Raw genomic sequence first — 17,228 nt, forward strand, 5'->3', positions numbered from 1 at the left:
AGGTAGCATATCCTTTGTTGAACTACAATTTTCCTACCAGTTTGGTATCTAGGATGCATAATACATCATAAACTGGGCATCACATTAGTTGCCTCAAGTATTTTTTTGTGTGTTTGGAGCTATTTACCAGTTGGAATTACAGAAGCTATTTTTTTTAGACAGAGTCTTGCTCTGTTGCCCAGACTGGAGTGCAGTGGCAGAATCTTGGCTCACTGCAACCTCCACCTCCTGGGTTCAAGCGACTCTCCTGCCTCAGCCTCCCCAGTAGCTGGGACTACAGGCGCATACCACCACGCCCAGCTAAATTTTATATTTTTTAGTAGAGATGGGGTTTCACCATGTTGGCCAGGTTAGCCTTGAACTCCTGACCTCAGGTGGTCCGCCCACCTCAGCCTCCCAGAGTGTTGGGATTACAGGCATGAGCCACCGCACCCAGCCACAAAAGCTATTTCAACGTAGAGCTGATTACCTCATGGAAGCATTTGCAGGGTATCCAGAAAAAGACAGAAAACATACTTCCCATAATTAAATGTAAGCTGTTTTCTAAAATGATAGCAAACCCCTTTCCTGAACCTCTTTCCTCCACCACCATTAATCTAACTTGCTTTTTATAAGATTCAAGTGTCATCTCCAAAGCACTAGTATATAAATTACTCCCTATACAAATGAGAGTTTGGACATGCAAATATAAGCTTGGAAAAGGTTCCAATATGCTTCCTATGAAAATTCAGACTTATCGGCCGGGTGCGGTGGCTCATGCCTGTAATCCCAGCACTTTGGGAGGCCGAGGCCAGCGGAACATGAGGTCAGGAGATCAAGACCATCCTGGCTAACACGGTGAAACCCCGTCTCTACTAAAAATACAAAAAATTAGCCGCGTGTGGTGGCGGGCGCCTGTAGTCCCAGCTACTCCGGAGGCTGAGGCAGGAGAATGGCATGAATGGGAGGCCGAAGCTTGCAGTGAGCCGAGATCGTGCCACTGCAGTCCAGCCTGGGTGACAGAGCGAGACTCCGTCTCAAAAAAAAAAAAGAAAAAGAAAAAAAAGAAAATTCAGACTTATGTGAAGAAAAAAAGAACAGAATAAAGGTAATGAGTCAGAAATTATTTCTTAGGACAGAAGCAAAGTTTGTCCTTTTGGAACCTTTTAAATATAGGGTTGGGTTTAGGAACCCGCTTCCTGGAATAGATAGACTTTAGACTCCTTCCTGAAGCTTGAGGGTTACCAGAGAGCTATGTCCTAAAAAGACCTTTGCAGCAGGCAGGATGAGGTCAGCGTACTCAACACCAGAGCAGGAACAACTACTGGAGGAAAGAATCAGAAGGAACAAAGAAAGGAGGATGGGGTACGGAGGGTGCTGTGGGTGTTAGTGGAGGAAGCTGAATAAGAAAAACGATATGCAGAAAAGATATCAAAGAAACTGAAAATGAGAAGTATAAGGAAGGAAAGAAAGGACGGAAAAAAATAGATTAAGAATACAAAGGGAAAGGAGTGACAGAAGGGGATGGAAAAATAATTTTTTAAGGCACATAATAAAATAGTACTGAGGTGGGGAAATATTGAAACAAAAATGTGAAAACATCCCAACAGCACAAACACAGAGACAGAGAGAAACATCAGGAAATGTAGACTTCCCTGCCAACCAAAATTTTACAAATAGAAAGGAACCACTAAAACAGATCCGGCTCAAACACAAAGCAAAACTGAAAATTTCACTTTACAGCAAAACTGCTCTGATTAGATCTTTCACTGGATTTCCTTATCCAACTGGCTGATTTAGAATCGTGTGAGAACACAGCATAACTGCAGAGATACTATCTCGTCGGCGGGTGGGGACTGCTGGCACGCAGGCTGCATCTGGCCCTCAGTATATTTCATCTCACCCACAGAGGACTACCAAGAGGAGATAATGCTGAATTTCATGCTTGCAATGGCAAAAAAGCATTGCAGTATTAACATCCTTAACAGTAATATGGCAAAAGGCCACAAGATGGTGATGGTATACCCTAAAGAGATCTCAATCATATGTAAAATGAGGTACACACACATACACACTCACACATACACTATACACTTACTAATTTTTCTTTAGAAAGAAAATGTCCTGTGTTGGTGGTGGTGAAGGAGGTCTTAGATAAGAGGAGACTTGAAGAATACTGCCTTTAGATAGCAATCAAAACACTTCTTATGATAAAATGAGGCAGTGTTTTTTCGTGTTTTTCCCAAGTAAAAAAAAATAAAAAAGGTATTTTTCAGACTAGAAAACACTAAGAAAATATTTTTCAACTATAGGCACTCTGATTTGTATGCATCTGCTGATAAAGTAATCATTTATATAAAGTAACTGTTACCTTTTAAGGAAATTTTTAAATTTTTTCTTGGGCTCCATAAGATGAAATTTCCCTAAAGAATCCAGTGAAGATTTTACTTCCTTGACTGCAGTTTATTTCCTTACTCAATGAGGAAATGACAGGCAGGATTAATTCCTTTCTTTAAATGGGTGTGACATTTTAGGTTAATCATGATTCATAGTGATGTATGGATAAGTTTAACTTTCAGATGTGCAAACACACATGTACACACTTTTTATCTGCTACTTAACACAAAATCAAAATTTGGGTAGGAAAATGGGTTAGAATCCTGGGCCTAAAATGTCAGAAAGAAGTAACTAATAGGAAAACAGCCAAAAAATATCCCAGGGTCATAAATTTCTATTTGCAAAAACAATATTAACCTTTAGAATTTTTTTTTAGGTTGGGCGTGGTGCCTCATGCCTGTAATCCCAGCACTTTGGGAGGCCAAGGTGGGCAGATCACCTGAGGTCGGGAGTTCGAGACCAGCCTGACCAACATGGAGAAACCCCGTATGTACTAAAAATACAAAATTAGCTGGAAGTGGTGGCCTGTAATCCCAGCTACTCAGAGGCTGAGGCAGGAGAATCACTTGGACCCAGGAGGCGGAGGATGCAGTGAGCAGAGATCACGCCATTGCACTCCAGCCTGGGCAACAACAGCGAAACTCCGTCTCAAAACAAGCAAACAAAAAACGACAACAACAAAAAAAAACAGGACAACAGGGCTGATGTGGTGGCTCTTGCTTGGAATCCCAGCACTTTGGGAGGCCTAGGTGGGTGGATTGCTTGAGCCCAGCAGTTGGAGACCAGCCTGGGCAACATACCAAGACACTGTCTCTATAAAAAAATTTAAAAATTAGCTGGCATGGCACATGCCTGTAGTCCCAGCTACTTTGGAGGTTGAGGTGGGAGGATCACTTGAGCCTGGGAGGTTGAGGATGCAGTGAGCCATGATCATGCCACTGCACTCCAGCCTAGGTGACAGAGCAAGATTTTAATAATAATTATTACTAAAATAATAATAAGACAGCCTTTTGAAAGGGCAATTTGGTATTATCTATCTAAACTGTAAATGGCTATACTCTTTGATTAAATATTTCCATGTCTAAGTTCAAGGCTGCAGTGAACTATGATTATGCCACTTCACTCTAGTCTGGGTGAAAGAGCAAGATACTGTCTCATTAAAAAAAAAAAATCCAGTCTAGAAATTGATGTTAAGAAAGTAATTTGACAGATGTGCAAATAGATGAAAAAAAATCACCAAAACTTTGTTTATAATAGCCAGAAATTGGAACCCATCAAAACACCCATCAATAGAGAATTGTTCAAATAAATTATAATGATGCAGTTACACAGTGGAATACTAAGTAGCAAATAAAAAGGATTAGGTTGATGAATGTGTATTGAAGAAAGGAGCATCATATATTGTTGAATCACTAAAGCCAGTTAGGAAACTGGATGTTTTCTATGTTTTCAGAAACAAATTTTTTTTCTGAGATGGAGTTTCGCTCTGTCGCCCAGGCTGGAGTACAGTGACACAATCTCGGCTCACTGCAAGCTCCGCCTTCCGGGTTCACGCCATTCTCCTGCCTCAGCCGCCCGAGTAGCTGGGACTACAGGCGCCTGCCAACACGCCGGCTAATTTTTTTTTTTTTTTTTTTTTTTTTTTTTGTATTTTTAGTACAGACAGGGTTTCACCGTGTTAGCCAGGATGGTCTTGATCTCCTGACCTCGTGATCCGCCCGCCTCAGCCTCCCAAAGTGCTGGGATTACAGGCATGAGCCACCGTGCCCGGCCAGAAACAAATATTTAAATATGCAGTAAATGTCTAGGAGGATGTGTACAGTGATGCGCTAGTAAAAGCTTAACAACCAGTTCTCCGGGGGGGAAGAAAAGCCCTGATATGTGGTGTTTGCTAATTTCATGGTGCAAATATTCCTGCCATGGCTGATTTCAAGCTGTCAATGTATAGTTATTGTACACACTTGGGAAGAGATCTACACAATCAGCTTAAATGGGCTAGTGCAGGCAGGATGCAGCACAGCTCTATATCTCTGGGAAGTGAGATTATGGGAAGACTGTCATGTTCCACTTTATATACTTCTGTGAGTTTGTTTTGTTTTTTGTTTCGCACTTTTGCAATGAAATTGTATCACTACTATAATCAACAAGAAGAATAAAAATATTAACTTAAAAACCAAAGATTTTTAAAAGACTGTTCAAAGTCATGGGAAGATGCTTATAACATATTGCCAGGCAAAAATTGTTGACTGAGTGTGGTGGCTTACAACTTTGGAAGGATGAGGTGGGAGGATCACTTGAGCCCAGGAGTTGTAGACCACGCTGGGGAACATAGTGAGACCCAATCTCTATATAAAATTTTTTTAATTAGCTGGGTGTGGTGGCATGCACCTGTAGTCCCAACTACTCAGGAGGCTGAGGCAGGAGGAGTGCTTTAGTCCAGGAGTTCCAGGCTACCATGAGCCACAATCACACAACTGCACTCCAGCCTGGGTGACAGAGTGAGACCCCATCTTTAATAAATAAAATAAAATATTGTATATCATGGTCAGGCACGGTGGCTCACATCTACAATCCCAACACTTTGGGAGGCCGAGGTGGGCAGATCACTTGAGGTCAGAAGTTTGAGACCAGCCTGACCAACATGGCGAAACCCCATATCTACTAAAAATACAAAAATTAGCTGGGTGTGGTGGCGCATGCTTGTAATCCCAGCTACTCAGGAGGCTGAGGCAGGAGAATTTCTTGAACCTGGGAGATGGAGGTTGCAGTGAGCTGAGATTGCACCATTGCACTCCAACCTGGGTGACAGAGCGACACTGTCTCAAAAAAACAAAAAACAAAAAACCCGGCCAGGCGCAGTGGCTCACGCCTGTAATCCTAACACTTTGGGAGGCCGAGGCGGGCAGATCACAAGGTCAGGACATCAAGACCATCCTGGCTAACACGGTGAAACCCCGTCTTTACTAAAAATACAAAAAATTAGCCCGGCATGGTGGTGGGCGCCTGTACTCCCAGCTACTCGGGAGGCTGAGGCAGGCGAATAGCGTGAACCCAGGAGGCGGAGCTTGCAGTGAGCCGAGATCGCTCCACTGCACTCCAGCCTGGGCGACAGAGTGAGACTCCGTCTCAAAAAAAAAACAAAAAACAACGACAAAAAAATTGTATGTCACTGTATTAGTCTGTTCTCACACTATTATAAAGAACTACCCAAGACTGGGTAATTTATGAAGAAAAGAGGTTTAATTGACTCACAGTTCTGCAGGCTGTACAGGAAGCATGGCTGGGAGGCCTCAGGAAACTTACAATCATGATGGAGAAGCCGAAAAAGTGAAGGGGGAAGTGCTACATACTTTTAAACAACCAGATTTCATGAGAACTTACTAATTGTCATGAGAACAGCAAGAAGAAAATCCACTCCCATGATCCAATCACCTCCTATCAGGTCCCCGCCAACATTGGGGATTACAATTCAACATGAGATTTGGGTGGGGACACAGAACCAAACCATATCAGTCACAAAGCAGTATTTTGGATTATCCCAATTTCGTTTTTTTTTTAAGTATATGTATGTTCATACAGTTGCACAAGAAAATGTCTGAAAGGACATAAGCCAAAATGTACATGGAGTTTGCAGCTGAGTGACAGAATTTTGGGTGATTTTTATTTTTTGTTTGACTTTTCAATATTTTCCATGTTTTCTACAAATGCTTTTATAATTATGTAATGCTTTTGTAATCAAAAAAGACATCGTTGTATTCAAAATACCATTTTAGCCTCACTGTCACTGCTTAGGAAGCAATTTCTTCCCTTTTCAGCCACTAGTACCATAATTAGAGCATATGACTATCTTAAAATATGGATGAATTCACTCTTTTATATTTTCCCCTCTCAAAGGTGAAAGAGCGAATTCTGTTTTCATTTATGTGGCCCAAGATCTTGAAATAATAGAAAAAAGTTCTCAATCCCCAATTCCATCAGCTGCTGCCATAGTCCCTACCCATATTTTTGCCCAGACTATTATGACAGCCCTTTACTCCCTCTGTTGCCATTTCTCCCCTCAGTACAGCTCAAAATGAATTAGAAAGGATTAGGGACATCTATGTGCATGTTGCCAAAAGATAATCATCTTAAAATATGGCTTCTATTTAATTTTGCTCAAAGTCTTTAATGGCAGTTTGCAAAAAAAGTATTTACAGCATGATTCCACTGCTGTAATATTTATAAAAACGTATTACCATATGCACAGAAAAAAATCTGGACTATTTCAACTTGTTAGCAAAGCTTTTCTCTGGGAGTACTGGAGATTATGGGAGAATTTTGCATTCTAATTTTTATGTTTCTGAAATGTTTTAAGAAAAGTCTAGATTACTTTTATAATGCAAAAAGAAATCGAACTGAGGAGGGAATTCTTAACCAAATTTCCACTGCCCCAAGAATAAAATCTGAAGTCCTCTCCTTTTGTTCAGATGCCTACCTTTAAAATCCACCTATTCAGGCTGGGCACTGTGGCTCCCACCTGTAATCCCAGCACTTTGGGAGGCCAAGGCGGCAGATCACTTGAGGTCAGGAGTTCAAGACCAGCCTGGCCAACATGGTGAAACGTCGTCTCTACTAAAAATACAAAAATTAACCGGGCATGGTGGCGTGCACCTGTAGTTCCAGCTACTTGGGAGGCTGAGGTGGGAGAATTGCTTGAACCTAGTGTGGGGTCGGTGGGGAGCAGAGGTTACAGTGAGCTGAGACTGCACCACTGCACTCCAGCCTGGGTGATAGAGTGAGACTCTGCCTCAAAAAAAATAAAATCTACATACTCAGTAAAACCAACCCAGTACCCTCCAGTCCCCTCACAGATTATCCACTTTCCTGAATTTTTACTGCTCTTTTTGACTTTGGCACTTACTCGTAGATTTGATCACACAATGGCTCATAGTACTTTTTTTTTTTTTTTTTTTTGAGATGGAGTTTCACTCTTACCACCCAGGCTGGAGTGCAATGGTGCGATCTTGGCTCACTGCAACCTCCTCCTCCCGGGTTCAAGTGATTCTCCTGCCTCAGCTTCTGGAATAGCTGGGATTACAGGCGCACGCCACCACACCTGGCTAATTTTTGTATTTTTAGTAGAGACAGAGTTTCCTCATGTTGGCCAGGCTGTTCTTGAACTCCTGACCTCAGGTAGTCTGCCCGCCTTGGCCTCCCAAAGTGCTAGGATTACAGGCGTGTGGCTCATAGTACTATGTAAACTGTTTCCCAAATAATTTACAGATGTGTAAGGATGAAGTTTATGTTTATTTTTTATGTTTCTCCAAGGTACCTAAACAATTTCAGACCCATAGCTGATGGCCACTAAATGTTTATTAAATTGGTTTGAAATCCAACATCTAAGGAAACTGAAAAGAATATGAAAGGTTATTTTCTTAGAGATACCCACAGAGAAAACCTATTAGGAAAAAAAGAAAGAATAAAATGGGAGTTTTAATACATATATAGGCTAAAAAAGGAGAGGAGAAAAAGAAAAGATAGAAACATTTGAGAAATGAGATACTGTATTAGTTTCCTGTATTTGTTATATAAGCCACCATAACAAATTACTGCAAACTCGGTGGCTTTAGAGCAACAGAAATGAGCCAGGAGTGGTGGCTCAAGCTTGTAATCCCAGCACTTTGGGAGGCCACGGCGGGTGGGTCACAAGGGCAGGAGTTCAAGACCAGCCTGGCCAACATTATGAAACCCTGTCTCTACTAAAAATACAAAAATTAGCCGGGTGTGGTGGCAAGCACCTGTAGTCCCAGCTACTCGGGAGGCTGAGGCAGGGGAATTGCTTGAACCCGGGAGGCAGAGGTTGCAATGAGCCAAGGCCACACCATTGCACTCCAGCTTGGGCAACAGAGTGAGACTCTGGGCAAAAAAAAAATACACACACACACACACACACACACAAAACCAGAAATGTATTCCTTTGCAGTTCTAGAGACCAGAAGTTAGTTCATCAGTATCACTGGGTCAAATAAAGGTGTCAGCAGGGCTGTGATCCCTCCAGAGGCTCTGGAATAAGTTAATTGCCTCCTTCAGCCTCTGGTGGCTGTTGAGCACTCCTTGGCTTGTGGAGTGCTCGAATCCCTGCATCTGTGGTCACATTGCCTTCTCCTTGTCTATCAAATTTCCCTTTGCCTCCGTCTTCTAAGGACATATGTAATTCCAGTTAGGGCCCACCAAATAATACAGGATAATCACTCCATCTCAAAATCCATAATTTTTTTTTTTTTTTTTTGAGATGGAGTCTCACTCTGTTGCCTAGGCTGGAGTACAATGGCATGATCTTGGCTCACTGTAACCTCTGCTTTCCGGGTTCAAGCAATTCTCCCACCTCAGCCTCCCAAGTAGCTGGGATTATAGGCACCCGTCATCATGCCCTGCTAATTTTTGTATTTTTGTAGAGACCGGATTTCAACATGTTAGCCAGGCTGGTCTTGAACTCCTGACATCAGTTGATCCGCCCGCCTCAGCCTCCCAAAGTGCCGAGATTACAGGCACCCGGCCTCAAAATCCACAATGTAACATCCATTTTTGCCATATATGGTAACAGTCACAGATTCCAGGGATTAAGACATGGATAGCTTTTGGGGGGATATAAATAGTCTACCATAGGCAATTGCCAGTAAGAGTTTCTGTTAATACACAGGAGAGCTTCTTCATGGTCCCCAACCCTTCTTTCTTCACTCAGTTCTTTCTATTTCAAGTCCCCTTATATGAACAGAAGCTTAAAATATTTATTATTTTTTATTTTTTTAGAGACAGGATCTCACTCTGTTGCCCAGGCTGGAGTGCAATGGGGCAATCACTACTCACTGTAACCTCAACGCCCTGGGCTCAAGCAGTCCTCCTGCCTCAGTCTCCCAACTAGCTAGGACTACAGGCATGTGCCACCATACCTGGCTAATTTTTATTTTTTATTTTTGTAGAGAAAGGGTCTCTCTGTGTTGCCCAGGCTGGTCTCGAATGCTTGGCCTCAAGCGATCCTCCCACCTCAGCTTCCTGAATTGGTGGGATTACAGGCATGAGCCATCACACCCAGTTTAAAATTATTTAAACTGCCAACTTGAATAATTTGTCTAGCAATGTCTAGCAGGCTACTAGAGACAAATACAAGTCTAAAAGCAGTAGAACCAAGCATGAGGAAAAGAACACCAAAAGTCCATTGTTTTGGCTACTAAACACAGCAAGATTAATAGGAACAGCCTGAACAAGTGAAGCACTCTAAAACTAATTTGGTGAAATCATTCATTGCACATCTGTGGTGTGCTGTTATCCTAAGGCTTGTGAGAAGGATACAAAGAAGTTAGAAGACACCTCTGAGTCAAAGTGTTTACTGTCTAATGATTTAGTGCAAAAGGTTGCACTAAAGAGTTAATAGGGAAAAAAATACAACAAAGTAGCCTAGATTTTCGATAATGCCCAACTTTGGAACAGATTATGCAAATCCATGCTAAGGCCAACACAAAAGAAGCAGGTTGATCTCCTGCTGTAGTTACATAATTGCTATGGGCAGTGAGAAATTGGGGCCATCTCTCTGCAGATAAAAATATGATTGCATTCAATATGCAAAGTAGTGCATATATTGTAGCGAAAAAGAGAAAATGTCAATATTTCATAACTTTAAAAGTTAGAATGGTATATGATTTGGGCAGGATAAAAATATGGGCTTATGGCTGGGCGCAGTGGCTCATGCCTGTAATCCCAGTGCTTTCGGAGGCCGAGGCAGGCGGATCACCTGAGGTTGGGAGTTCGAGACCAGCCTGACCAACATGGAGAAACCGTGTCTCTACTAAAAATACAAAATTAGGCCAGGCGCAGTGGCTCACGCCTGTAATCCCAGCATTTTGGGAGGCCAAGGCAGGCGGATCACGAGGTCGGGAGATCGAGACCATTCTGGCTAACACAGTGAAATCCTGTCTCTACTAAAAGTACGAAAACAAAATTAGCCAGGCATGGTGGCGGGCGCCTGTAGTCCCGGCTACTCGGGAGGCTGAGGCGGGAGAATGGCATGAACTCGGGAGGCGGAACTTGCAGTGAGCCGAGATCTGGCCACTCCACTGCAGCCTGGGCGACAGAGCAAGACTCTGTCTCAAAACAAACAAACAAACAAACAAAATTAGTCGGGTGTGAGGGCACATGCCTGTAATCCTAGCTACTCAGGAGGCTGAGGTAGGAGAATCACTTGAACCCAGGAAGAGGAGGTTGCTGTGACCCGGCATTGCACCACTGCACTCCAGCCTGGGCAACAAGAGCGAAATTCCATCTCAAAAAGAAATATATATATATACACACACACACACACACACACACACACACACATATATATATGTATATGTATATATGTACATATGTATATATATGTGTATATATGTGTGTATATATAGGCTTACATAGGCAAATATGAATTTATGTTGAGACTAGATTTTATCTCTTGGTACTAATATAACCCGAGGCATCATGTTGGCAAAAAGACAAACACCTTCACTTTGCTGTCCTTTAGATGAGAAAAGTAAACACCTTTCTCTTCTATGAGATAGAAAATTTAGGTCTCATGCCAGAAAGGACTACTAGGAAGTTGAATTGTTCTGGAAAGTGTATCACATAACGAGAAATTAATACAAAGTATATAAACTTTTATTACATAACGCGACAAATGTATTTAGAGCCTCTACTGTGTGCAAGGCCTCCAGGGAGTGAAGACATGAAAAAGAAATGGTACCAGTCTCCAGGGAACTAGTTTCTAGTTTCCTAAGAATGGTAATTAGAATATAAATCAGAAAAGGCTATGTCATAGATACATACACAGTTCTCTGAGGGTCTAGGGTTGCCGACATCGGCAAAGGCTTTAGGTAGGACATAGTGTCTGAAGTGTGACTTGAACGATATGTAGGTCAAAGGACCTGTGGAGATGCAGTGGGAGGATGGGCCAGGTAGAAGAATCCGGCACAGAGCTTGGAGAACAGCTTGGAGCACATTTGAGGATAAGTGAATAATCCATTCTTACTGAGATCTGGGTTTATATAGCTTTAGGACATTTGAAGTATCTTTGTATAGGAAAAAGTCTAGGAGAAAATTCGAGGCAACTAAGTATTTATTTATCTATTATTTTTTGGAGACTGGGTCTCGCTCTGTCACCCAGGCTGGAGTGCAGTGGCTTGATCACAGTTCACTGCAGCCTCGACATCCCAGGCTCCAGTGATCCTCCCACCTCAGACTCCTGAGTAGCTGGGGCTATAAGCGCACACCACCACGCTTGGCTCGTTGTTTGTATTTTTTGTAGAGACAGGGTTTTGCCATGTTGCACAGGCTGGTCTTGAACTCCTGGTCTCAAGTGATCTGCCTATCTCAGCCTCCCAAAGTGGTGGGCTTACAGGCATGAGCCACCGCACCCGGCTGTCCCTCATTTATCTATCTATCTATCTATCTATCTATATATATATATATTTTTTTTTTTTTTGAGACAGAGTCTCGCACTCTAGCCCAGGCTGGAGTGCAGTGGTGCGATCTCGGCTCACTGCAAGCTCTGCCTCCCAGGTTCACACCATTCTCCTGCCTCAGCCTCCCGGGTAGCTGGAACTACAGGTGCACGCCACCACATCTGGCTAATTTTTTGCATTTTTTTTAGTAGAGACGGGGTTTCACCATGTTAGCCAGGATGGTCTCGATCTTCTGACCTTGCGATCCACCCACCTCGGCCTCCCAAAGAGCTGGGATTACAAGCGTGAGCCACCACGCACAGCCAAGCCGTCCCCCATTTTAGATGCCAATCACAAGTCCCAGGTTCTGACCTGTACTTCTGACCCATCAGCTATAAAGTGGGGTTTCCATGACTCTCTCCTTGGGTTCAATTAGTTTGCTAGAGTGGCTCAAAGACTCAGGGAAATGCTTTTTACTTATGTTTACCAATTTATCGCCTAAAGAATATCACAAAGGATACGGATGGATGAACAGTCGGATGGAGGAGATGCATAGGGCAAGGTATGGAAGAAGGGGTGTAGGACTTCCATGCCGCCTCTGGGAGCACCTCCCTCCAGGAACCTCCACGTGTTCACTTATCTGGAAGCTCTCCAAATCCTGTCCCTTTGGGTTTTTATGGGGGCTTCATTATGTAGGCATGACTGATGAGATCATCAGTCTTTGCTGGTCAGCTCAACCTTCAACCTCTCTCCCCTCCCTGGAGGTCTATGGTTGGTGGGGGGGTAAAATTTCTAACCCTCCAATCACATAGTTGGTTCCCCTGGCAACCAGCTCCCATTCTGAGGCTATTCAGGAGTGTACCAAAAGTTACCTCATTAGAAAAAGATGCACCAATCAGAGGAATTTCCAAGGATCTTTAGGAGCTCTGTATCATATGCACCTGTCACTCAGGAAATTACACAAGTCTTGGGAGCTCTGAGTCAGGAACCAAGGTCAAAGACCAAATATTAGAACAAAAGATCCTCCTAGCACCACTATTGCTCAGGAAATTAGAAGGGTTTTTAGGAGCGCTACATCAGGAACTGCAAATGAAGATCAAAATATATACCTTACGATGTCACAGACAGACCCAGGAGATTGTTTACAAATGGAAGGATTGATTAAATAAGTCATCATGTTAAGGATAGCAGGAATCAAGTTTCTCACTGGCAGAAATGGAGTTACATATGTGGAAAGTGAAAAAACTAGAAGAATTATTTGGTGTTGGATTAGAAAGGTATTAGTGTAAATTCATAATTTTAAATATAGATAGATGGATGTAGAAATAAATATAGATGTAAATGTGTGTATATGTAAAAGTTTATATATATAAATGCTCACATATATGTACACACATACATATATTTCATATATTCCCTAGCTCTGTCCACAAAAAGGGCCTGAGAACAGTGACACCTAATAGCAATGCGTACACATAATGCCCAGATCTTGGTTTCTCTTTTCTTTCTTTTCTTTTTTCTTTCTTTTTTTTTTTTTTTGACATGAGGTCTCACTATGTTGCTCAGGCTAGTCTCAAACTCCTGGACTGAAGAATCCTCTGCCTCTCTTTCCCAAGTAGCTGGGATTACCGGAACACACCACCATGCCCAGCTTAGCTCTCGGTTTCTTTTTATTTATTTATTTATTTATACTTTTTTTGAGACAGAGTTTTGCTCTTGTCACCCAGGCTGGAGTGCAATGGCACGATCTTGGCTCACTGAAACCTCCACCTCCTGGGTTCAAGCGATTCTCCTGCCTCAGCCTCCCGAATAGCTGGGATTACAGGCATTCGCCAACATGCCTGGCTAATTTTGTATTTTTAGTAGAGACGGGGTTTCTCTATGTTGGTCAGGCTGGTCTCGAACTCCCAGCCTCAGGTGATCTGCCCACCTCACCCTCCTAAAGTGCTGGGATTACAGGTGTGAGCCACCGCGCCTGGCCAGCTCTTGGTTTCTAAATACCATTCTCCACCAAAAGGAACCAGGGCCCCTTGGAGAATGGCTGATTCCCGGGCTGAGGCAGATGCTGGGCATGGTGGCTCATACCAGAGGCTGAGACAGAGGATTGCTTGAACCCAGGAATTTCAGACTAGATTACAGGCCATTTATTTTTATAGAATGTCTTTTAATTTAGGTTCGTCTGAGGTTTCATCATGATTATCACTGTGGTAAGCAATGATCGTGCCACTGTACTCCAGCCTGGGCAACAGAGCAAGACCCAGTATCTAAAAAAAAGATTTTTTTTAAAACTGGAAGTTTGATGAGGAATGGAATATTTACATAGCTTCAAGGTATTCCTCACAAAATACTTAAGTACAAAGAGAAAAAGAGTAACTTTACAGTGGAAAAGTCTGGAAGACACCATGTTATTCAAGTGATCAAAATCAGCCACATCAGTGATGGGACAAATTGACATCATGCTATTGGAAGAACACAGCGTTGATTCTCTGATTGTTCTGCCAAAGGTGCATGAATCTAATCATGATAAAACCTCAGACAAGCCTACATGGAAAGACATTCTATAAAAATAAATGGCCTGTAATCTAGAAAAGTATCAAAGTCATAGAAGTAAAAGAGTCTAAGGAACCATTCAAGATTGAAGAAGACGGAAGACCTATAATAACTAAATACAACCATCATTTCTGAACATTGCTGATTGTGATGATTGTGCTGGAGGAATATGCTTATTAGCAAGAAATACTAAAGTATTTGGGCATGATGGGGCATTTTCACAGTTTAAGCTTTGCAAGAAGTCTCTGAGTCAGAGTTTAGTGTCCAGGATGTTTGCTAGGGAGTGTCTTTGGGATCGACACCTGTGCCAGGGCAGAGGAGGAAGCAGGCTTAGACAGAAGGAAAAGTAAACTGTATGTAAGGAAGGCCCAGCAGCCTCAGCTGACCTCATGAGGAGCTCTGGAGCTACAGCGACCCTTGGGCATTGTCCCAAACCAGCCTGAAAGGGCTAGACTTCCAAATTATACCTTGATCAGCTGCTGGATGCAGACTGTTCCCAAAAGGGCATGAGCTTGGGTGAGGTTGCTTTCTGCAGCTGTAGGAGTTGATGACTGATTGCTGTCTGCTGACAGTACTCCAAGTAGAAGGGACAAGAAGTCCTTCCATAAAGGGAAGCTCAGTGGCTTCATCTCTGTGTTCATTCTTGTGCTGCTTTCACATCCACTTCTTCATATACGTTTGAGTAGTAACTCCTGCAAGATTTATGATAGGCCTCTCTCCCTGGGGAAACTTTGAAAAGGAAGACTTATAGGACAAACTATAGCTGCCTCCGCTATAGTTGTTCCTGGGGCCACAATCAAAACTTACAGGCTTTCTAGGCCAGGCGCAGTGGCTCATGCCTGTAATCCCAGCACTGTGGGAGGCCGAGGTGAGTGGGTCACTTGAGGTCAAGAATTTGAGAATATCCTGCCCAACATGGTGAAACCCTGTCTCTACTAAAAATACAAAAATTAGCCAGGCATGGTGGCGCATGCCTATAGTCCCAGCTACTCAGGAGGCTGAGGCAGGAGAATCGCTTAAACCCGGGAGGCAGAGGTGGCAGTGAGCTGAGATCACAGCACTACACTCCAGCCTGGGCTACAGAGTGAGATTCCGTTTCAAAAAAAAAGAAAGAAGGAAAGAAAGAAGGAAAAAAACAACTTACAGGCTTTCTAAATTCCTCTCATCCTCAGCTACCACCGCTTTCAGCCTTGGTAACTTACCTGGGGAGGCGATTTAGATTCCCATCTCAGAGAGGTCTGAGTTTCTGGTCACCAGGCCTTTCTAAGGACAGAGTTGCTGTATTATCCATTTACCTTCACAACAAGGCAAGGGAATAACAACAAGAGGCATTCAAGCAGATCCTCAGAGCACTGAAACATTTTTCCTTCCCCTTATCGTATAACAGAAGAAGACCTAACCTCTTCTAATGACCAGGGTCAATACCCCCGCCAAGATTGTTGGTCTACTTCTAGCCTGCTTGTCTCTGGATTCTAGGAGTCTTCAATGCCCAGATGGCAGCTTTTGCTAGTAATTCAGAGACTTTGGCTGTGTCCCCTGGTGGAAATATTCCCCTTTTATTTATTTATGTATTTATTATTTTTTTGAGACAGAGTCTTGCTCTGTCACCCAGGCTGGAGTGCAGTGGTGCAATCTTGGCTCACTGCAACCTCCACCTCTTGGATTCAAGTGATTCTCCTGCCTCAGCCTCCCGAATAGCTGGAATTACAGGCATGTGCCACCATGCCCAGCTAATTTTTGTATTTTTAGTAGAAACGAGGTTTCGCCATATTGGCCAGGATAGTCTCGAACTCCTGGCCTCAAGCGATCCACCTGTCTGGGCCTCCCAAAGCACTAAGACTACAAGCATGAGCCACGGCGCCCGTCCTCCTCCTCCTTCTTCTTGACAAAGTGTCATTCTATTTCCCAGGCTGGAGTGCAGTGGCATGACCATAGATCACTGCAGCCTGCAACTCCTGGGCTCAAATGATCCTCCTGCCTCAGCCTCCCAAGTAGCTAGGACTATAGGTATGTGCCACTGCACCCAACTAAGTTTTTTTAGTTTCTTATAGTGACATAGTCTCCCTATGGTCTGGAACTCCTAACCTCAAGTGATCCTCCTGCCTTAGCCTCCCAGAGTGCTGGGATTACAGGTGTGAATGACCATGCCAGGAAATTTTTTTTTTTTTTGAGACGAAGTCTCACTCTGTCGCCCAAGCTGGAGTGCAGTGGCACAATCTCAGCTCACTGCAACGTCTGCCTCCCAGGTTCAAGCAATTCTCCTGCCTCAGCCTCCTGAGTAGCTGGGATTACAGGCGCCCGCCACTACACCCAGCTAGTTTTCTTGTATTTTTAGTAGAGACTGGGTTTCACCATGTTGGCCAGGCTGGTCTTGAACTCTTGACCTCGTGATTCACCCACCTTGGCCTCCCAAAGTGCTGGGATTACAGTGAGCCACTGTGCCTAGCAATTTTTTTTTTTTGAAACAGAGTCTTGCTTTGTCACCTAGGATGGAGTGCAGTGGCATAATCTTGGCTCACTGCGACCTCTGCCTCCCGGGTTCAAATGATTCTCCTGCCTCAGCCTCCTAAGTAGACATGTGCCACGACACCCAGCTAATTTGCATATTTTTAGTAGACAGGGTTTCACCACATTGGCCAGGCTGGTCTCGAATTCCTGACCTCAAGTGATCTACCCGCCTTGGCCTCCCAGAGTGCTAGAATTGTAGGCATGAACCACCTTGCCCGGCCCAGGCAAATTTTTAAAGTTATTTTCTTTCTTTCTTTTTTTTTTTTTTTTTGAGATGGAGTTTCGCTCTTGTTGCCCAGGCTGGAATGCAATGGCGTGATCTCGGCTCACTGCAAACTCTGCCTC

At 43.4% G+C, this 17,228-nt stretch overlaps 1 protein-coding gene across 2 annotated transcripts in view; it reads left to right on the forward strand.

Moving 5' to 3' along the window:
• Positions 1 to 17,228, forward strand: part of MAPK6 (mitogen-activated protein kinase 6) — a 95,551-nt gene that overhangs the window by 8,629 nt on the left and 69,694 nt on the right. Inside the window, exon 2 of one of the 2 annotated variants that reach the window (XM_047432852.1) lies at positions 2,753 to 2,862. The exons of the other annotated variant lie outside the window; for it this stretch is intronic. The gene's annotated coding sequence lies outside the window, so the exon portion shown is untranslated. The remainder of the gene's footprint in view (positions 1 to 2,752; positions 2,863 to 17,228) is intronic. 2 annotated transcript variants of the gene reach the window in all.

The sequence above is a fragment of the Homo sapiens genome, chromosome 15 (genome assembly GCF_000001405.40).
Source record: "Homo sapiens chromosome 15, GRCh38.p14 Primary Assembly".
Classification (NCBI taxonomy): domain Eukaryota; kingdom Metazoa; phylum Chordata; class Mammalia; order Primates; family Hominidae; genus Homo; species Homo sapiens.